Source organism: Homo sapiens, chromosome 16 (genome assembly GCF_000001405.40).
Source record: "Homo sapiens chromosome 16, GRCh38.p14 Primary Assembly".
In the NCBI taxonomy this organism is placed as follows: Eukaryota; Metazoa; Chordata; class Mammalia; order Primates; family Hominidae; genus Homo; species Homo sapiens.
The window spans coordinates 5,542,577-5,565,393 of NC_000016.10; the positions used below are offsets into that span (position 1 = coordinate 5,542,577).

Here is a 22,817-nt window from a genome sequence, read left to right on the forward strand (position 1 = left end):
ATACATCTACCTTGCATTTCAATCTAGTACAACAATGAAAGGATGGATTTTAAGTAAACAAAAAGACCACGCAACACTTCCATTGTTATTTAGAGATGCATGGAGTTTTAGCAAGGAGAATGAAAACTGTCAGTTTGAAATACTAATTTCTTGAGTTTTCAAGTAAGAAGGCCAAAATTATGCTTGATTTCTTTGTAGGTTCTATGATTTGATACTTTACCATCCATACTCATTAATAAGGCAGAGTCCCCTAAGGTTCAATGTCCACTCAATGACCCGTTCCAGGGAACATAATTCAGCAGTTAGAAATTATTTTAAGAGCTGCTTATAAGGATTAGAAGGACCAGTACCTGGTGCTCAGTCATGGCTGAGAATAGTGCCAACTTCCACCAGCCAGAGTTGGAAAACCTCACAGTTTATAAGACATTGGGTAGAGTAATCAGAAGGCTCTTGCCTCAGGAGTGGGGAATAATTAATCATAGAGTAAGCATGGCTCTAGTCCCAGCTGACAAATCTTAAAAATAAGTCTTAAAGGGATCGAACTGTTTTCAAGTAACTTAACTGTATCCCAGAACAAAGGTCAAGGATATTTATTAGAATGCCATAATATCAAGCCCAAAGAAGTTGCAAAGAAGCATGAAAATACAACCTAAAATGAGTAGAAACATGTATCAGTTGGAATTAATAAAGAAGTATCAAAAATGTTAGAATTAGCAGAGAGGGACGTGTTTAAAAAATTAAACAGAAACATGGAAGACAAAAAAAGACCCAAATCAAAACTCTAGAGATAGAACTCTGTGATATTTGAGATTTAAATTCATGGGGTGAAATCAACGGCGGATTAGACATTGCCCATACACAAAAAAGATGAGTGAACATGATGACATAGCAACAGAAACTGTCCAAAATTAAACACATAGAGAACAATAATAATGAGAAAAAGAGAACAGCATTAGTAATCTCTGGAACAAGTTCAAGGAATTTAATATATGTGTAGATGAAGTCCCTAAAGGAATGAGAGAGATGGAGAGACAGAAAAAATATTTACAGATAGTGGCTTAAAATTTTTCCACATTTCATGAAAATCACAAACCCAGAGACCTAAGAAACTCAATGAACACACAGAAGAGACACGAAGAAAACTACTCTAGGCACATCATAATCAAGTGTTCAAGCTTAGTGATATAAAAACTTAAAAGCATCCAGAGGGAAAAACAAGACAGATTACTTACAGAGCCACAAAGATAAGGGTGACAGTGTATTTTTTGGTCAGAAATAATTCAAGTGTAAAGATAGGGAGTAAAACAACAAAACAAAAATAAAAACACTAATGTAAGTGCAAAAAGAAAGTCCAAACCTGAAATAACTGCAAGGAGAAATAGTCAAATCCAGAATTATGATTGAACGTCAATACACTGCTTACAACAATTGATACAGAGAGTAGATAGAAAGTGTGCAAATGACCTGAACAATGTCACCAACCAGTTTGACCTAACTGAAGCTTACAGAGCCCACCACCCAACAACAGGATACACATTCTTTCTGAGTGCACCCAGAGCATTTACCCAAATTTTATTTGGTAAAATAAATTATTTTCTGGGCCATTAAACCAGTCTCAATAATTTCAGAAGGATTCAGGTCCTGCAAAGTAAGTTCTTTGGTCCCAGTGGAATTAAACTGGAAATTGGCAACAGAAGGAACTCTGGGAAATTCTCAGGTTTTTTGAAACCAGCACATGTTAAGTAACTCATGCATGGAGAAAGGGGTTAAAGAGAAATTAGAAGCTATTTTGAATTGAATGAAAATGAAAACACAACATATCAAAATTTTGTGGGATACTGTTAGAAAGGGAAATGTATATAGCAGTCATTAGAGAAAAATAAAGTTCTCCAATTTCACTCTAAGAGACTAGAATGAAAAGAACAAAATCAACACAAAGTAAGCAGGGAAAAATAATAAAGATCAGAGAGAAATTAATGAAATGAAAAACAGAAAAACAATAGAGAAAAATCAATAAAACCAACAGCTAGTTCTTTGGGAAGATCAATAAATTGAGAAGCAGCTAACCAGAATGATCAGGATAAAAAATGATATCAAATACTAAAGATATATCTTTGTATAGTACATACTTATATCTTAAATAAGGCATAACTATATCTTAAAGATAATATGGGAATATTGTGAACAACTTTATGCTCATAAATTTGACAAAATGAATGAGATAGATAAATTCCTTGGAAGATATAAACTGCTAAAGCTAATTTAAGAACTAGGTAACCGTATTAACCCTATATCAAGTTTTAGAGATTGAATTTGTAGTTAAAAACTTTCCCACAAAGACAAATACAGGTATAGATGGCCTTACTATTACATTCTTTTTTTTTTTTTTTTTTTTTTTTTTTTTTTTTTTTTTTTTTTGATACGGAGTCTCGCTCTGTCTTCCAGGCTGGAGTGTAGTGGAGCATTCTTGGCTCACTGCAACCTCTGCCTCCTGGGTTCAAGTGATTCTTCTGCCTCAGCCTTCCGAGTAGCTGGGATTACAGGCACCTGCCACCATGCCTGGCTAATTTTGGTATTTTTTAGTAGAGACAGGGTTTCACTCTGTTGGCCAGGCTGGTCTTGAAACCTTGACCTCAGGTGATCCAACCGCCTTGGCCTCCCAAAGTGCTGGGATTACAGCTGTGAGCACGCCCTGCCCTTAGTGTTAAATTCTAACAAATATTAAAGAAATAATATCAGTTCTATACAAACTATTCCAGGAAATTGAAGAGGAAAGATTATTTTAGGAGACAGGTATTGCCCTAATAGCAAAACCTGACAGAGAAATTATAAGAAGAGGAAACTGAAGTCCAATATCTATCATGAATATAGATGCAAATAATTGTAAACAAAATTTTAGCAAAGCAAATACAGCAATATATAAAAAGGGTAATATATCATGGTCAAGGGTGGTTTATGCTAGGTTGGTTTAAAATTCAAATATAATCAATAGAATCCATCATATTAAGAAATAAAAAGTGAGAGACACATGATCATTTCAATGGATACAGAAAAACGTAAGAATTTAACATCTATTCTCAATTAAAAAAAAACCCCTCATCAAGTAGGAATGTAAGGAAATTACTTTGATAAAATATGTCTATGAAAAATCTCTTTCATACTTAATAGTGAAAGACTGAATGCTTTCTGCTTAAGATCGGGAACAAGAATGTCTGCTCTTATCACTTTTTTCACACTGTAGTGGAATAAGTCACTTTAATAAGGCAGGAGAAATGAATAAAACCCAGAAAGTAAAGGATAAAATAGATGTGTCTTTATTTACAGATAGCAAGATCTATTATAAAATCCAGTGAGATCTAAAAACTTTTTTTTTGCTGAACAACTATGAATTTAGTGAGATTATAGAACAGTAAGATAATTATACAAAAAGCCATTGTATTTCTATATAATAACAATAAAGAACTGAAAATTAAAGTAAAAAATACTATCTGTAATACTATCAAATGAAATAATAAGGAATACATAGGGATAAGTCTGACTAAATTTGTATGATTCATATACTGAAAATTACAATATATTAATAAGACAAACTAATGAAGAACTAAATAAATGGAGAGACGATTACAAGTCAGAAAACACTGAATATTGTTAAGGTGTCAATTCTCCCAAATTGATCTACAGAGTCAATGCAGTCCAAACCAGAATCTCATCTAGGCTTTTTTGCGGGGTGGAAATTCACAAGCTGATTTTGAAATTTATACAGACAATGAAAGACCAGTAATAACCAAAACAGCTTTGAAGAAGAACAAAGTTAGAGGGCTAACATGATCTGATTTAAAGATTTATTACAAAGCTATTGTAATCAAGACAGTGTACTATTGACATCAAGGTAGATACTTGGGTCGATGTAACAGTAAAGAGAGTTCAGTGGAGTAGAATAATCTTTTCAACAAATGGTGTTGAAATAGTTGGACATCCATGTGCAAACAAATGAATTCCAATCTGTATCTGTGGCATATACAAAAATTAACTGAAAATGCATCATACATTCAGATATACAACCTAAATCTGTAAACCTTCTAAAGATACCATAGGAAAATCTGTGTGATGTTGGTTTAGGCAAAAATTTCTTAGATATGTTGCCAAAAACAAGACCTATTAAAAATGGATAAATTTTAAAATTGGCAAATTGAACTTCATCAAAATTAAAAACTCTACTTTGAAAAACAGTTAAGAGAGTGACCAGCAACATATTTGGAGAAAATGTCTGCAAACTATATATCTGATAAAGGACTTATGTGTAGAATGGGTAAAGAACTCTCAAAACTCGATAATAAGACAATACCCAATAAAACAATGATAAAATATTTGAACAGACATTTTACCAAATTAGATATACATGGCAAATAATCACATGAAAACTTGTTCAACATCATTAATCATTAGGGAAATACAAGTTAAGACCACAATGAGATACCATTATACATCTTCTAGGATGACTGAAAGTAGAAAGACTGACCACACCAAGTCTTGGCAAGGATGAAGAGAAGCTGGAACTCTCATACATTGCTTATGAGAATGTAAAATGGTATAACCACTTTGAAAAACAGTTTGACAGTTTTCTAACTGGTTCAACATGCACCTGTCATGTCATCTAGCCATTTCATGTCTAGAGGTATTTATCCATGAGAAAAGGCAGCATGTCCTCAAACAACACACATGTGCATGAACATTGATGGTGATTTTATTTATCAGAGCCAAAAACTAGAAACCACCCAAATGTCTATTATCAGGTGAATGTAGAAAACAATTTGTGGCACATGCATATAATGGAATAGTATGCAGCAGTAAAAAGGAATGAGCTATCTATACATGCAAGAACATGGGTAAGTCTCAAAATCTTTATGCTCAGTGAAAGATGCCAGATAAAAAAGATTACATACTATATAAGCCTATTTATATGAATTCTAAAAAATGCAAATCTATAGTGACAGAAAGCAGATCATTTGTTGCCTGTTGACAAGGATGGGAAGTGGGAAAGGATGAGAGGGAGAGATTACAGAGAGGCACAAATTCATTAACGGTGCCTTGAGTGAAGAATATGTGCTGCATGTACACAATGGAATACTACACAGCCGTATCAAAGCACAAAAATCATGTCCTGTGCAGCAATATGGATCCAACTGGAGGCCATTATCCTAAGCGAATTAATGCAGGAACAGAAAACCAAATACTACATGTGCTCATTTATAAGTGGGAGCTAAACATTGGGTACACATGGACGTAAAGATGGCAACCATAGGCCAGGCACGGTGGCTCATGCCTGTAATCCTAGCACTTTGGGAGGCTAAGGTGGGCAGATCCCCTGAGGTCAGGAGTTCCAGATCAGCCTGGCCAACATGGTGAAACCCTGTCTCTACTAAAAATAAAAAAAATTAACCGGGCGTGGTGGCTTGTGCCTGTAATCCCAGCTACTTGGGAAGCTGAGACAGGAGAATCCCTTGAACCAGTGCGGTGGAGGTTGCAGTGAGCTGAGATTGTGCCACTGCATTCCAGCCTGGGTGACAGAGCAAGACTCTGTTAAAAAAAAAAAAAAAAATATATATATATATATATATATATATATATAGACATTGGGGACTACTGGTGGGGGAGAAAGGAAGAAGGGAGGAAGAGTGGGAAAACTAACTGTGGGGTACTATGCTCACTGCCTGGGTGATGGGATCATTTGTACTGCAAACTTCAGTGTCATGCAATATACTTGAGTAACAAACCTGCGCATGTACTCCCTGAATCTAAAATAAAAGTTGCAATTAAAAAAAGGAGCACACACAAAAACAGAATGAATAAGACCACCTATTTGGTAGCACAATATAGTGACCATAGTTGATAATAACTTAATTGTAGATTTAAGTATAACGTAAAAGTGTAATTGGATGGTTTGTAACTCAGAGGATAAATGCTTGAGGGGATGGATACCCCATTCTCCATGATGTGTTTATTTCACGTTGCATGCCTGTATCAAAACATCTCATCTACCCCATAAATATATACACCAACTATGTACCCAAATGATTAAAAATAAAAAAAAACTAAAAAAATTTAAAAAGGAGCACAAATAAACTCTTGGGAATGATGGATATTTCACTGTCTTGAGTGAGATGAGAGTTCATGGATGTATGTATATGTCAAAACTTATCAAGGGGCACACTTAAACACTAAATTCAACCTTCTCTCAGTGAAAACACCTGAGCATTCCATGGATGAAGTGAGAGAAGGCTGGGGCCAAGGATGAGGAAGAAGATGGAAGGGGCACAGGGGCACTTCCGCAAAAAAACAAGTCCTCTACATTATACATCCTCTCTCTGTTGTTTCTGAAAATTGTCTGTTATTAGTAATGAAGATAAGGTGATTTTATTGGATGTGGATGCTGATACAGCTCATGACAATTCATACTGGCCGCAAGGCAGTGGTTTGTAGATAGTATTCTGAAAAGAGACATCCTCGTGGAGGACCCCAGCTTCCAAAGATGACCCTATGAGCAGCTCACTGTACTTGCTTCCTCCCCTGCCTGAACATTGCAGATGGTTGTTCCTGAGGCAGCCATGAGCAAGTGGCAAACTTGTTGAGAAGGAGCTGAAATGCGGTCAGCATCTGGGAGAGCCTGGGAGCCTTCCTTCTGGTCTGCAGATACTTCTGTCTGTCTCACTCTCTGAGCTTGACTGTTCTTGGTTGAACTTTGCTTTCTCTCCTGGGTCCCCTGCTGGTAACTGGATCTGCTTCTTCAAGCTGTGGGACCCTCAGTAGCCATAATCTGGTGGGTGACGTTGATCAGAAGGAATTTTTCTATTTCAGAGTTATATTTATTGGCTTTGAATACTTAGGAACGCTTTGGAAGAGGGAAATGACATAGCGAGTAAGATATTTAGATAGGCAGATACGATAAAGGGGAAGATGATACAGTCAGTTCTGTGATAGCGTGACATGTATTTTCCTAAACTTGACTATACTATGCAGAATTGCACAGTAAAACCAGATGGGAAAAATTGGGTTGGGGCACAGCATTCAAAAACTTCATCAGTGAGATGTTTAAAAAGGGTAGAAACCTAATACAAATCATAGCATGGTTTTACATACATTAAGTGGTTAAGAAATGCATATATAGTAAAATAAACATCTCATTTCACCCTGGAAAAGACCTGAAGTTTGGTTTGGAAGTGGATGTCTGAAGGAATGTAGTTTGTGAGTTACTGGGAAGGATGGAAGCAGTGTCATCTGAGATGGGAGGGAATCTTGCAGGCCCAGGTGTGGATGAGTGTGGCTCATAACTTGCACAATGAACTGAGGTTGCTGGTAGATGTTTGCATGTGTATGTGTGCGCCCATGTGCACAGATGCTTGTATTTTGCATATTGCTCAATGTCTCAGCCCAGCTGGTTACAGCTTTCTTTGTTTACCTACTGTTTCTCGCAGATGAAATCATGTATAAGCAAATGCAAAATGTTATGCTCAGATTGTTCCCTAATATATCAGTTACACTGGAACAAATTCACATCTTCCAAACAAGCATCACTGCAGAACCAACTGTGCAGTGTTGCGAGAGGGGCTGTGTGGAGAAGCTTTCTAAAGGAGGTTTCTGGAGGACATTGTAGGGTAGGACTGAACTGTAGGATCTCAAGAGCACCCAATCGTGGCACCTGCCTTTGTTTACCTACTGTTAGTAAACCAAGTGTCTGTGAATCCATGTTTCCCTGTCTTACCCACCACTGTTGCTACATGGAAGGAACTGGAAAGGCAGCTCATTCTTCAGGGCTGTCGTGAGCCACCCTGGGCTCTGATTACCGCTCTGTTGGATCCATCAGCCACCAAAGAAGGCTGAGGCTGCCCAGGGGGGCAGTAGGAAGGGGAGCCAGCTCTCCCTTGACCCAGAACTGAGAGAGTTGTACAGAAACAGATGCCCAGACATTGTTATTTCAGACCTGTCACATTAAAAAAATGTAGTCATTGACATGATGTTGTCAATTCAATCACCAGCTTGTTATTGACTTATTGAGTACCTAGTATGTATCAGGTCCCATTTATGGTACGTTAGCAAATAAAGCAGACAAAGCTCCCTGTCCCTGTGGCATTTATATTCTGGAGACTCAGATAAATGAGGTGTTATTTTTCTGAATACGGACATGAGAATAAACAAGTCAGCAATAACAATAACAATTCATGCTTTCATTTCAAAAAAGAATTGTCACCTTTATTTTTGAAAGGACATCTTTATACCAGGTGCACAGGGCTGATGTAATCTCAGAATGCAGGACTGATCTTTAAAGAAAATGGTATATCCACATACAGAGTCTTGGAAACCACAGCTGATGGGCAAGGGAAGGTTAAGCCTTGAGAAGGATCCAACTGTCTTATTTCTGGCCCATAACTCTCTGTAATAAAGCATATCAAACGCTCAGGGAACTGTGGGGAGGCAACCCTGGGTCCTAAATACCCACTGCATGGTTCTTACTTGCTGGGAGGTTTCTCCTGCCACTCTTGCCTCAGTTTCCCTTCTAACCTCTTGAGAGTTGAGGTGTTTTTCTTCTGGCTTGAGATAAGTAACTGTCTCTGGAGCTCTTACCCCGTGACTTCCTCCAGCAAGCACTTTCCTTCCCCATCCTCCCAGGCTGAATTTTCACCAGGGGCTATTTGTACTATAGTTACTTACTTATCGAACACTTCAGCATCCATGGAGGCAGCTGGTCTGCCCAGAGTGGGATACATGTGCGAGGCTCCCTGAAGCCCTAGATGCTACTGGGTTGTTGGACGGGACACAGCCAGAGCTGCTAGTATATGCACAGGGCGATTCCAACAAGCATCTCTTGTTACCACTAAATTGTGCTGCCTGCTGCAGCCAGGGAGTTCCGGCTTCCTTAGGTTATTTAGGAATAGATTTACAAAGTGCCTCCGAATCCACTCTGCTTTGGGACTGTGTTCCATCAAGGGTGATGCCTGTTCTCTAGCAGCTTGCTTTCAGCACGGTGATTCGGTGTGTGTCCCCTGGGCCTGGGTTCAAATCTCAGCTCTTTTTTTTAACCTTACGTTCTGGGATACACGTGCAGGTTTGTTACAGAGGTATACATGTGCCATGGTAGTTTGCCGCACCTATGAGCCTATCATCTGGATTTTAAGCCCCACATGTATTATGTATTTCTCCTAAAGCTGTCCCTCCCTCCGCCCCCCACCCCCCGACAGGTGCTGGTGTGTGATGTTCCCCTCCCTGTGTCCATGTGTTCTCGTTGTTCAACTCCCACTTATGAGTGAGAATATGCGGTGTTTGGTTTTCTGTTCCTGTGTGAGTTTGCTGAGAATGATGGTTTCCAGCTTCATCCGTGTCCCTGCAAAGGACATGAACTCATTCTTTTTTATGCTCAGCTCCTTTTTATTATTAGCTGTGGATGAGTCATTCAACTTTTCTAAGCTCTGGTTTCCTCATCTAAGGATATGCATAATAATGAAACAGACTGTGTCGTGTTACCGTGAAATTGAACTAAGATAATGTAGTCAGCCCAGTCTGGTACGTGGCCAGAACTTAACGCAAGCGAGCTCTCAGCATCAAAGGAGTGCAGCTTCTCTGAGATAACCTTGCTTGGTGATTCCCAGCCCTTGGGGATGATTCTTTTCCCCTGGGTTAAGAGTGGTTTATTATCCATCCCTCCTTAAGCATTCCGTCATATGTTGCCTCCTATGAGGCTAACATGCAGAGTGTTTCTGCCTTATTTTTCCAGCGCTATTTGCTCACAATTATTGAGCTCTTCAATGACAGGCATTGGGCTAGTGACTTCCCAAAGGTTTCTGTATTAAATGCTCACATAGCCCAAGAGGTGCGGGATGTTTTAGTCCATGTTTCAGGTGAGAAAACTGCAGACCAGGAAAGTTTAGTAACTTACTTAAAACCACACACCTAGTCAGGGGCAGAGAAGTGGTTAGAAGCCTGGCTTTTCTCTCCACCCACAGGAATTTCAAACTGTCAGAGGATGGAGGTCAGCGTATGCATCTTATTTGTAAGTGTAGAGAAGTTGGCCAGTAAAATAGAATTGGAAACCGACTCACATTGAGAAACTCTATTCTGCCAGCCTTCCCTCTACAGTGCTTCTGAGCGGGAAGATCCCATGACCCAGTGGTGAGTAATGGCTTCCCTTTGCTCTGATCACAGTCAGATAATGAAGTCCCTGCTGCTAAACAAACATACCCCCAGGCCTCGGAGCAGATACAGCCCTTGGGAAACGAGGGAAAAGGGAGAAGGTCAGCATGTTCCCATCTTGATACCCATCTCCAGGTCCTCAACAGCTTGGGGCAAGAATTCAAAAGGCAAGGTGTATGGAATACTATGCAGCCATAAAAAGGATCAGTCCATGTCCTTTACAGGGACATGGATGAAGCTGGAAACCATCATTCTCAGCAAACTGTCACAAGGATAGAAAACAAAACACCGCATGTTCTCATTCATAGGTGGGAATTGAACAATGAGATCACTTGGACACAGGGCGAGCAACATCACATACCCGGGCCTGTCGAGGGGTGACGGGCTGGGGGAGAGATAGCATTAGGACAAATACCTAATGTGAATGATGAGTTGATGGGGGCAGCAAACCAACATGGCACATATATACCTATGTATCAAACCTGCACCTTGTACACATGTACCCTAGAACTTAAAGTATAAGAATAAAAAAAGTAAGGTGTATGCCATATGTCTGAATATTTTTTTTTTTTTTTGAGATGGAGTCTCACTCTTTTACCCGGGCCAGAGTGCAGTGGCACAATCTCAGCTCACTGCACACTCCGCCTCCCAGGTTCATGCCATTCTCCCGCCTCAGCCTCCCGAGTAGCTGGGACTACAGGCGCCCGCCACCACGCCTGGCTAATTTTTTGTATTTTTAGTAGAGACAGGGTTTCACTGTGTTAGCCAGGATGGTCTCAATCTCCTGACTTCGTGATCTGCCCGTCTCAGCCTCCCAAAGTGCTGGGATTATGGGCGTGAGCCACCACGCCCAGCCATGTCTGAATATTTTAAAACTGTGCAGTAAGCTAAAACCATCAGATAGAATGTTCTATATATGTGTGTATATACACATATATATGTATATATATGTGTGTATATACACATATATATGTATATATATGTGTGTATTTATGTATATACATGTGAAACCTCATACCACAATATTGAAAAAACATGTATACTACTATAGAGTTTTTATATAATTAAAGGTCAACAAAATATCCTACATGATTGAATTTAATTATTATTGCATATGTCTGGGTACCCTGTGGATGGATCAGAGATGTCTGGACGATTGGCAAACAACAGACATGTCTTATAATAATCAATACTTTCTTATAACACGTATTCTTTTTTTTTTTTTTTTGAGACAGAGTCTTGCTGTTGTTGCCCAGGCTGGAGTGCAGTGGCGTGATCTCAGCTCACTGCAACCTCTGCCTCCTGGGTTCAAGTGATTCTCCTGCCTTAATCCTCCCGAGTAGCTGGGATTAGAGGTGGCCACCACCATGCCTGATTAATTTTTGTATTTTTAGTAGAGATGAGGTTTTACCGTGTTGGCCAGGCTGGTCTAGAACTCCTGACCTCAAGTGATCTGCCCACGTTGATCTCCGGAAGTGCTGGGATTACAGGCATGAGCCACAATGCCTGGCCTTTTTCTATGTATTCTATTGACAATAATGACCTAAAAGCATAAAACCTAAAATAATTATATGCGAAAGTTATAAAACTGGTGTATATTTCTGTAAAAAATGCAAGTTATATGTTTTAAAAATAAAAAAATTAAAATTATTTTTCTATATTTTCAAAAGAGGTTCTTCTAAAACATTAAAAAGTATCTAAGAGTAAATGGAAAAATACAAACCATATAAAAATGTATATTAACATTTTAATAAAGCTGACCATTTTTACTTAATTTTAGCAACTTCAATCAGATAGTGTATATTTCTATAATGAAAATGCACAGTTTTGCATTCAATGTCCATCTTGGGGCCAATGTAATGTCTATCTTGGGGCCGTGATTCTGCACTTACACAAATTTAAGACAAATGAATTGGTTAGTATTGCAACCTATTCCCAGACACCAAAGGCTCTATTCACAAACGTCTCAGGGATTATGAATTGATCAACAAAGAGAAGCAAGGAATGAATGCTTGACACTGGTGGATGATGGATTTGACAAGTTAATTAATTCATTTGTCTTTTTTCTTACTCACATTCTTCCTGCCTTCTGAGCAGTTGTCTCCAATGTCACGGGCAGTGGTACAACCTACAGACCTTGAGTGCAATTAGAAGTGACCACTTTCTGATTCAAGGGCAGGATGCAGAGTTGTATTTCCATGGGGCTTGAATGGTGTTAGTCATAGGAGTGGATGTTTATGGTCACAGACTGCACTGGGTCACTCTGACAACCAAATCCCAGAAGAGAGAAGTTTTCTTTAATTAATAAATGTACTCTTTTGTGTGTTTGTGACATGTGGGGCTCTCTAAAGCCCGGGGTACAGGGCAAGAGCCCCCCTTGCCTGCATCTAGCTACCCTCCGCTATGGATGTTGGTGGATTTGATTCAGTGGATAGAATGGAACTATTAGGTTGGTGCAAAAGTAATTGCGGTTTTTGCAATTACTTTTATTATTATTATTTTTATTATTTTTGAGATGGAGTCTCACTCTTGTTGCTCAGATTGGAGTGCAGTGGTGTGATCTCAGCTGACTGCAACCTACACCTCCTGGGCTCAAGCAATTCTGCCTCAGCCTCCCGAGTAGCTGGGACTACAGGCATGAGCCACCAGGCCTGGCAAATTTTTGTATTTTTAGTACAGACGCGGTTTCGCCATCTTGACCAGGCTGGTCTTGAACTCCTGACCTCAGGTGATCCACCTGCCTCTGCCTCCCAAAGTGCTGGGATTACAGGCATGAGCCACTGCACGGGGCCTTGCAATTACTTTTAATGGCAAAACCACAATTACTTTTGCACCAACCTTATAGTTGGAGAGACCGTGAAAGTTACCATAATCTGGAACATGTGCCCTATGTGTAGCTCTGTTGAAGTGAGGATTGAGGGCAGAGACGGGGAAGTGTTTCACTAAGTCTGGACAGGTTCATTTGAAAGACCCTCTCCCTCGGCTGGGTGCAGTGGCTCATGCCTGTAATCCCAGCACTTTGGGAGGCCTAGGTGGGCGGATCACCTGAGGTCGGGAGTTCGAGACGAGCCTCACCAATATGGGAAAACCCCATATCTACTAAAAATACAAAATTAGCCGGTCGTGGTGGTGCATGTCTGTAATCCCAGTTACTTGGGAGGCTGAGACGGGAGAATCGCTTGAACCCTGGAGGTGGAGGTTGCAGCGAGCTGAGGTCATGCCATTGCACTCCAGCCTGGGCAAGAGAGTGAGACTCTGTCTCAAAAAAACAAACAAACAAACAAACAAAGACAAACAACGACACCAAAAAACACCCTTTCCCTGTATTCTACTGCTATGATTTATGCCTAAGCCAGCGTGTTAGAATTTATATTGAGGAAATATGAACACACATGTTAATTAAGTAACACATTTCCCTCTTGCGGTTACATACATTCGGTCTGCAGAGGAGCCTTGGTCATATTAATGAGGCTTTGCTTTGCTTTAAGGCTAATTCCAAGCTTGCCATCTGTAGAAAGCGCTATCAAAGGGATCTCAGTGTAAACGGTGGTATTCGTGATTGGCTCTGGTGGGGCCTTGCCTACCCTCCCCGGCAGCTGCTGAAATTGAGCTGTGAGCCGAGGAAGATGAAATGCTAGTTTGTTCTATGGCTTGAGTTCCCAGAGGCAACGTTTCCAGGTCATTTGACATTAGTTCAGAGAATGGGAAAGTATTTATCTTTTCCCCCCGCTTTTTCTAAAACTTAAAGAAATGCTCAATGCTTGTTGGTAAGTAGGAAGTGACAGCTCTCCAAGACGGCTGCCTGAAGTTTGAGGGGAGATGTTTACTGGGGTTGCTGGCTGAGCTGCAGAGGATGCCAACCCTCTCCCTCTTGGGAGAACCAGCGGCTGCAGACTGACTCTCACCCTCGGGCACCTTCCATGTGATACTCTTTGAAGCAATGTTTTCTGAAGAATGTTCCTTGGGACATGAGATGCATGACATGTCCCCATGGAAAGAAAGATGCCACGAAAACAAAACAAAACACTGTTCTGTGGCCACATAAGTTTGAGGCCACAGTATTTTCAGGCCACTGTGTACCCTATTACTTCCCTGTCATTGACACACAGTTTATATGTCCATTTTATAGGCTCTGGGGATTTCTGCAGGCAAGAAACTCCTTCAGCTTTGCTGAAGCTAGAATTTCCTCATGTTAATTTGAACTTTTAAAATTCTCTGGGACTGAACTTGGTGGCTCATGCCTGTAATCCCAGCACTTTGGGAGGCTGAGGCAGGCGGATCATGAGGTCAGGAGATCAAGGCCATCCTAGTTAACACAGTGAAACCCCATCTCTACCAAGAATACAAAAAAATTAGCTGGGCGTGGTGGCAGGCACCTGTAGTCCCAGCTACTCAGGAGGCTGAGGCAGGAAAGTCGTTTGAACCCAGGAGGCAGAGGTTGCAGTGAGCCGGGATTGCGCCACTGCACTCCAGCCGGGGTGACAGAGTGAGACTCCATCTCAATAAATAAATAAATAAATAAATAAATAAATAAATAAATAAATAAAAATTTCTGAAAGGTTGTTTGCGTTCCTGCTGTCTGTCTGGCACTGTGCAAGGCAGACATTTGAGAGGTACAATGGGAGTCAAGCACATGGGCATTGGGTCCCCATATGAAGCTTATAGAGAGATAATAAACAGGGTAACAAAACTGAATATACATTTTGATGCATAATATGACGAAACAGGTGGGGTGCTTGCGGTAAGGGGTATCAGAGGGGTGACTGTGATGGGGAGCAGGGATCACTCCAGGAAGGCAACTTTTAGTTGAAAACCAAAGCATGAGAAGGAAGCAGACATGCAAAGTGTGGGAGAAAGAGCTGGGAAAGCATGTGCAAAGGCCCTGAGGCATTGTGTGATCTAGTTCTTAGAAACACTTGTAGGCTTGTGGTGCAGACAGGGAACAGGGAACTACTTGGTAGAAGAGGGTGGTACCCAGGTGGGGCAAAGGCCCCACCCCCAAACCTGAAGACCCATGGCTGTAAGTGAGGACAGGCATTTCTGTTTTCACACCCATAGAAGTTGCCTTTTGGCCTGCCATGCCCCTCGTCCTGGCCCCGTATAAACTCAAGACCTTAGTGGCCACACCGACAAACAGCTGAAGGTCAGAACCAGAACAATGACAGTGGAACAACGTGGCAGAGAAAGAGAGAAGAGTAAGCATGTCTGGATGCCAAGGGGAGTTCAGCTGGTGGTGGTCAGAGACTCGCCACTGGGCGGCCCAACTCCGGGGGAGGACTGCCTTCCCACTCTATCCCCCGCTTCCAGCTCCCCATCCATCTTTCTGAGAGCCACTCCCATCACTCAATAATACCTTGTACTCATCCTCCCAGCCCAGGTGTGATCCAATTCTTCCGGTATGCTGGGCGAGAACTTGGGATACAGAAGGCTGTCACACTAGCCCCCCTGCCCTTGTGATAAGGCCGAGGGTCTGTTGAGCTGATTAACACACAAGCTGTCTGCAGCATGCAGAGCTGAAAGAGCACACTGTAACACACGCCTACTGGGCTTTGGGAGTTCTTAGACACCCAACCCTAGATGCAGCTGTGGAGGCAGAGCCCAAAAGCGGTCCTCATGTCCTCACCACCTACCCATCTGCAAGTTCCCCTTAGAGGTCTGAGCATCGAGGAGACTGAAGGAGCGAGCCACAGCCCTGTCACACATCCTGCCAGGGGGATATGGGAACTCTCCCATTTCACTTGTACCCTGTACAAACTACCTTAGTGACCAGAGACACTCCTGAGATCCTTACAAAGGCCTGGTACAAAGTAGATAATCTGAATTGGTCCCTTTCCTTTCCTTGTCAAGGGGATTCTGAACATGGCCACTGAGAATAGTTTCAGTCTTGAGCAAGCTCCATGGCTCTGTTCCTGCCATCGTCTCAGTCTTGTGTGGGGTGGGACCCTGAGACTGTCAGCCCCCTCAGAGTGCAGAGGGTCTGTCTTTGTAGCTTTCTGGCCAAAGCCCCCAATTCAGATCAAGGTGTGTAATTTGGATTCACTCAATGCATCATGAGCATGCAAAGGTGTCAGAAAACTAGAGCAGGAGTTCTCAAAGGTCCACGTACAAGAGAGACACCTGGAGAACTTGTTAAAATGTGCAGTGTCTGGGACCACCCCTTAGATATGGAATCCACAAGCCTTGAGCTAGATGTGTGAGGCATGCCAGGTGGGTCAGAGGGAGGTGATCCCACACTCTCACACTTTTTGAAATACCCTGAAACCATAGCAGTTATGCTCACGTGGGTACAGAGCTGGGCTGGGGGGGTTTGCCTGAGGAAACCTGAGATTTTGATATGTGATCAGTTTTTGTCTTGCTCCTCCATAGTAGCAAAAGGGGTTTATATAGCTAGGAGAACCCCCCCAGGCAAAAAAAAAAAAAAAAAAAAAAAAAGTCAAGTGTAGAGAAAACTGGAAGAGTACTTTGCCACCCAGCATGGGCAATGGCGTACCCCTGTTCTGGTTCTTGGTTTGTTTAAGCATGGTTTGTATATTTTTTGATTTATAAATTCCATGACGTACATCTTAAGGATCATAGTAAACATTGATGTGGAAGCCATTTGTTTTGTAATCTGGTGTGGCTGTGATCCTCAGATCTGAAATATGGCAGCTAATAGGCTAATACATGAGGAAATAGACTTATTTACATACTGTCAAAACAAGCCGAACAAGGCTACAGTGTTTTTGCAGGCAAATGAAGCCCACACAATGGGGAAGGCCTGTCAGGATCGGGCCTTGGCCACATGGACCAGGGGAGATTGATCCACACCTCCTTCCTTGAACCTGGCCTGGTTCCCCTGCCCTAAAGGCGCCCCTCCACCTGGGACCTTGATACCACTCTTTTCTTGGAAGTTGCTCTATCAATTTTCTCCTCTTTCCCCTTGGAATGTAAATAAACTTCCCAAATCTCTTTCTTCCTAGGTCATTCTGTCTTGTGCAACGTTAAAAAGTCTTCAGTGATAACCACTCCCCTCATCTTGCTTTTAACATCTGCCCAGGGACTTCTTACTGCTTCCAGGATGTGCACGGACTAGCCCCTGCCTACTTCTGCAAGCTCACATCATACCCTTAACTCTAGCGTGCTGTACTCCAGCCATCCTGAGATCCTTTATTCTTCCTCACCCTCCACTTTGGGGCTTTCTTAACAGGATCTGTTTTTATCTGGATGATCTTGTTGATATTCTATCCGTCTCCCTAACCAGCATGAAAAACGAGTGAATTTAGTTCTCTTGTCTGTCTTATAACCTATTGCTATATTCCCAGAGTGTCAACAGTGCTTATGAAAATGGCCAACACATATTCATTATTTATAGAATAAATTTCTTCTCTTTCCTCTGAGTATTTGCACATGCCTGACAGTCTCTTTCCCTTGTGCACACACTTTGTGAAATACCTTGCTTGCTAACTCCTGGGCATCTTTAGATTCTCAGCTCATATGTCACTTCCTCCAGAAAGCACTTAGTCACCTCCTCCAGGAAGCACTTAGTCACCTCCTCCAGGAAGCACTTAGTCACTTCCTCCAGGAAGCACTTAGTCACCTCCTCTAGGAACCATTGAATTACTTCCTCCAGGAAGCACTAAATCACCTCCTGCAGGAAGGATAACCTGACTCCCCAAGTTTGAGATGGCTTCTCCCCGCACTCCGGTGTTATTACACTGCACTGCAATCATCCATTTATGTATTTTATTTCTCTGTAGACTGTAAACTCTAGGAGGGCAAGGCCCCTGGATTCCTTTGTCTGTTTGAATCTCCTGTCATCTGTGCATCACTGTACAAGGTCAAATGTGGTGCCTATTTTTGGTGGGTGTGCAGTATGTATTTATTGAATAAATGATTTTTCACCTTATGCTTTTATTCCTTCATTTTTATCCAAACATCTCAGCGTAGTCTGTGCTCCACATCTTTTTTCTTAACCTACCAAAGTTTGACTCTTGGACCTGCTATTGGACTTCTCTGGACAAGATACCTATGAGCTCCATGCTGCCAAATCTAACATATACTTTGCAGTCCTTTTATCCTCCTTGTGGCATTTCACACTGTCCACCCATCCTCCTTGACACTCTGCCTCTGAAGGCAGCCCTGGTGCCTAGGTCCTGCTGTGATGTGCATTGCAGTATGGAGGCGTTTTGGCTAGCAGGTAACAGGAGATTTCATTAGCTACCTGGCACACCCTTGTGGCAGGAGAAATGGTTAATGCCAGGACTAAACCTCATGCAAAGAAAAGGAATTTCCTAAAGATTTTATTGCAACTTTGGGTTTTATCAATTCCCAAATGGATTCCCTCTGTTGTGTCTTCCTCCCAGTACAACACTGTGACTATGTCCATCCTCAGGGCAGGAGGGGTGGGAAAATGGGTAGACATGGCTTGCTGCCTGATCCTTCATCCATGGGAGGGGGTCTTGCACATTAATATTTCCAAGAAATATGAGCAGACTCTATTATGGCCCATGGTTAAAACCAACTTTCTTTAAAAAAAATTGAATGAGGACCTATAATTAGTTGGAATCAATATGTATTTCAGATACTTATAATTAGGTGTCAGCAAACTTGGCTAAAAAGGGGACCTATAGCTTCATTTTTTTTTTCTTTAAAAACCCCCAAATTTGTAATTCTGTATTTTGAATACCAGTTAGTGGGACACAGACATTCTCTTTCTTTCCTGCCTTATAGACACTTCTGGAAGCAGGTCTGTTTAACAGTCATTCTAACTTAATTAGCTGGGAAGAAAATGTACAAAAGAAAGCCATTATGCAAAAGTCAGGCCCTATTAGACACCAGGGAAGGGGTGACGATATAAGGTTTTAAATACATTTCCAATCCTGTTTTAATACTAGACCTTTATATGATGATTATTATTAATAATATGACTTAATGCTCTTTACCCTAGGGATTCTTTTAATTATCTTATCTCCAGGAGGGTCCCCAGGACTTACTGGGCAATCTGCTCCCTTCTTTTGGGGTGAGAGGGTCACTTGTTCTACCCTGAGATGTATTTTAGCAGAAGTTACTTGAGGACGATGGTCTTGGTTCCTTTTGCAATTTAAGTTTAGGGTCATGACCCTGGAATTAATGAGAAGCTTTATTGCAAATGCATCCCATCCATTGAGAAATGGAGTCCACCCAAGATAATTCTTTCGAGGGCCTCTTTTCCCCTGTCATCGGTTCATTCATTGGTTAATTTATTCGCTCATCCAATATGGTGCTAGAGGGTGTGAAGACACAGGGAAACTTGTCTTTTGTCAGCTGTTTTTTATTTCCAGGGTGAGACGCTTTGAAATCTCGGCACTCATTTTGTCTCTAGCTTAAAGGCAAAGCTCTTCCTGAGCTCATGGCAAGGTTAGAATGACCTCTCATCATTCAGGAAAAAGAAAGATTTGATAGAACAGATTTATTTCTGCTCCATCCAAGTTTATTTCCGAGGACACCATCCGTGGCAAAGTGTGGAAATTGGAGGTCTGCAGTTATATGTCAAGTAGGACCCAGAGCCTCCAGCAGTCCTACTTAGAAGTCAGACAGCTGCCCGAGAAAGCTGCCTGTTTCCTAGATATTGGAACTGCTGGGGTCAGGATTCAGTGAAGAACCTCTTGGTCCTGTCACTTTTGGTTATGTGTTAGATCAGGGCTCTGAGGGCAGATGCTGGGGCCAGGGCTGCAGTGAGATACCCAGGATGTATAGAGCAATTCTCCAGGGCCAGGAGGAGAAGAAGGGGGAGGACCTGGGGGAGACAGGAAGACCCCAGGGGTTGGTCTTGGGATCAGAGGATTACCCACTATGGCAGAACTGGCCTCAGTTTTCTAGGATAGAAATGGGGTTCCTCCAACTTGTAAGTGCTAGGGAGTCTTCCTTAAGGTTCTGAGTGCAAGAGAGCTGGTCCAGTAGGCATCTGGCCACATTCCCCTGCTTCTGGTATGGGTGCCTCTCTGTCCTATATTTTTGTTTTTTTCTGATCTGTTCAATCGTTTCAAGAATTAAAAGTGAAAAATTCTCTGCCATTTTCTGATGAGCCCTTTGGGATTTTACAAGAGGAACTACCTTTAGGCAAACTATCTGCTAACCATAAACCTGTGATATTGATATTGGCTTCATACTGCCGCTGTCTCAGGAGGAATATGCAGATGAGGTCTTGGAATCCCAAACTATGTAAAATAGGGCTGTATTATTATTATTATTGAAATGGAGTCTCGCTTTGTCACCCAGGCTGGAGTGCAGTGGTATAATCTTGGCTCACTGCAACCTCTGCCTCCCAGGTTCAAGTGATTGTTCTGCTTCAGCCTCCTGAGTAGCTGGGCTTACAGGCACCCGCCACCATGTCTGGCTAATTTTTGCATTTTTGTAGAGACGGGGTTTCACCATGTTGGTCAGGCTGGTCTTGAACTCCTGACATCAGGTGATCTGCCTGCCTTGGCCTCCCAAAGTGTTGGGATTACAGGCGTGAGCCACCGCGCCCAGCTGAGGCTGTATTATTGTATTATTGCATCTCCTGACCCATGTTCATTTCCATTTCCATTTCACTGATTCAAAACACCTCCTAGGTGAACTAACTGTCTGTCCTCCAAATATAAAGCGAAGGAGTCACATATCCTCATCTTTGCTGATGGTATCGTTATCTACTGAACTACAATGCTTAAACTGTTGAAATAATAGTTTTCTGGAATATTTTATTTTCTGAAATAACCCAGAGAGAATAAAGTACACCAAAACTAAATATAAACCATCTGGTAGTTTAACTTCAGGAAACATTTTACAGTTAACGCACCTTGGTCATCAAATTTGATGCTGTTGAGTTGTGCTGAAGCTTGATTCTTTCAATAAGTAGTTGACCAGCCCTGAAATCCTGCCTTATAATATGATGATAGTAGTTTTTTAAAATTACAGCTTTATTGATATATAATTCATATGATATACAATTCCTCCATTTAAGGTGTACAATTCAGTGGCTTCTCATATATTCACAGAGTTGTGCAATGAGCACTATAGCATATTTTGGAACATTTTCATCACCCCCAAAGTAACCTTGTACCTTTTAGCAGCCACATCCCATTTCTTCTTCCCATCTCTAGCTGTTGGTAACCACTAACCTGCTGTCTGTTACCATCATTTATTTTCTTAAGTTTCTTGTCTGTCACTGACATGAGACTATGACCTAGATGTGGTTAGGAACCACGTCATTTTTATCTACTGCTCCAAGTACTCAGTGTGTAGGAGAGAGTTTTTTTAAAAAATTTTTTTATTTTTAGACTGAGTCTTGCTCTGTCACCCAGGCTGGAGTGCAGTGGTGCGATCTCAGCTCACTTCAACCTCCACCTCCCAGGTTCAAGCGATTCTCCTGCCTCAGCATCCAGATAGCTGAGATTATGGTCCGCACCACCATGCCTGGCTAATTTTTGTATTTTTTTTTTTAGTAGGGACAGGGTTTCACTGTGTTGGCCAGGCTGGTCTTGAACTCCTGACCTCAGGTAATCCACCTGCCTCACACTCCTAAAGTGCTGGGATTACAGGCATGAACCACCACACCCAATTGAGGAGAGAGTTTCTTTACTCTTCTGTCATTTTCTTTCACCTTCTGCCATTTGATGATGTTGTCTTTCTGGGTTGAATTTTTGTCTCCTCCCACTGAATTTGTCCTTCTACCGTCTTCTTGGATTATCTCTTTCTCTCCCATTCATTTATTTTTTTGGTCTAATAAGAAACCCTCCTGACATAGAACAAGTTTCATAACACGTGTCAGGTGTGTACCCTTTCCCTTGCGGTCACTTAAAACCTTATTTGCTGGGAATGGAATGGCTTAATCTGTGTGGTCTTTGGAGCTGTAGCATCTCTTTTTGGAGTCTGTCCTGTATCAGATGAGGGAGACTCATACCTATGTGACTTGGAACCTCTCCAGGCTTTCTGGCAAGCATCCAGGCATTTATTTATTCATTCTTATCTTTGAACAGTATTTATTGAGTGCATATCAAGTTCATCATGGTCTTCTAGGCAGTGGGTCCTAGAAGAACAACCCAGTTTTCACGGTTCTCCAGCACTTCTCTGGTGGATGCCATCATCGTGGCTGGGCATCTCACCTCTTGGATGAGGAGGTGGAGACAGCTGTCCCTCGGGTGAGATGCCGGTGGAACACACCTCAGCCTTGGCAGCCACGTGTAGTTTCTTACATGGATTGGTTTTTTAGTTCCTACTGGATGAGGGATGGCACTTCAAAGAGCCCTAGCCACTCACATTGTTTAGCTAAAACATGACAACAGTTGTTCTGTCCATCACAGGTGAGCAGGAGACAGTGAGGATGTCAAGAAAATGGGAACACGTGGGGTTTGTTACCATGGCTGCAGCCTCAGTGGGATACTAAGTGGCAGACATGGCTTGGATCATCCAAAGCACCAGGGTTCAGAACTAATAAGGTGCCTTTTCCTTACCTTTTGCTAAGCTATCTCCATGATATTCCAGATTTCAGAAGGAAAACTGGTGTGTGTGTGTGCGTGTGTGCACGTGCGTGCGTGTGTTCATGTGCATGCATGTGCACATACCACTACATTAGAATTTGCAAGTCATGGCCGGGCGCAGTGGCTCACTCCTGTAATCCCATCATTTTGGGAGGCTGA

General features: G+C 41.8%; 1 protein-coding gene across 4 annotated transcripts in view, besides 1 other annotated feature; it reads left to right on the forward strand.

The window, feature by feature from the left end:
* Nucleotides 1-22,817, forward strand: part of RBFOX1 (RNA binding fox-1 homolog 1) — a 2,473,620-nt gene that overhangs the window by 302,856 nt on the left and 2,147,947 nt on the right. The window lies entirely within an intron of this gene.
* Nucleotides 17,004-18,203: an enhancer, noted in NCBI's record as "P300/CBP strongly-dependent group 1 enhancer chr16:5609581-5610780 (GRCh37/hg19 assembly coordinates)". NCBI's record gives its function as "activates an origin of replication core promoter dependent on BRD2, BRD4, P300/CBP, MED14 and CDK7 cofactors, with strong dependence on P300/CBP, by STARR-seq in HCT116 cells {active_cell/tissue: HCT116}" and the evidence as "EXISTENCE:reporter gene assay evidence [ECO:0000049][PMID:35650434]".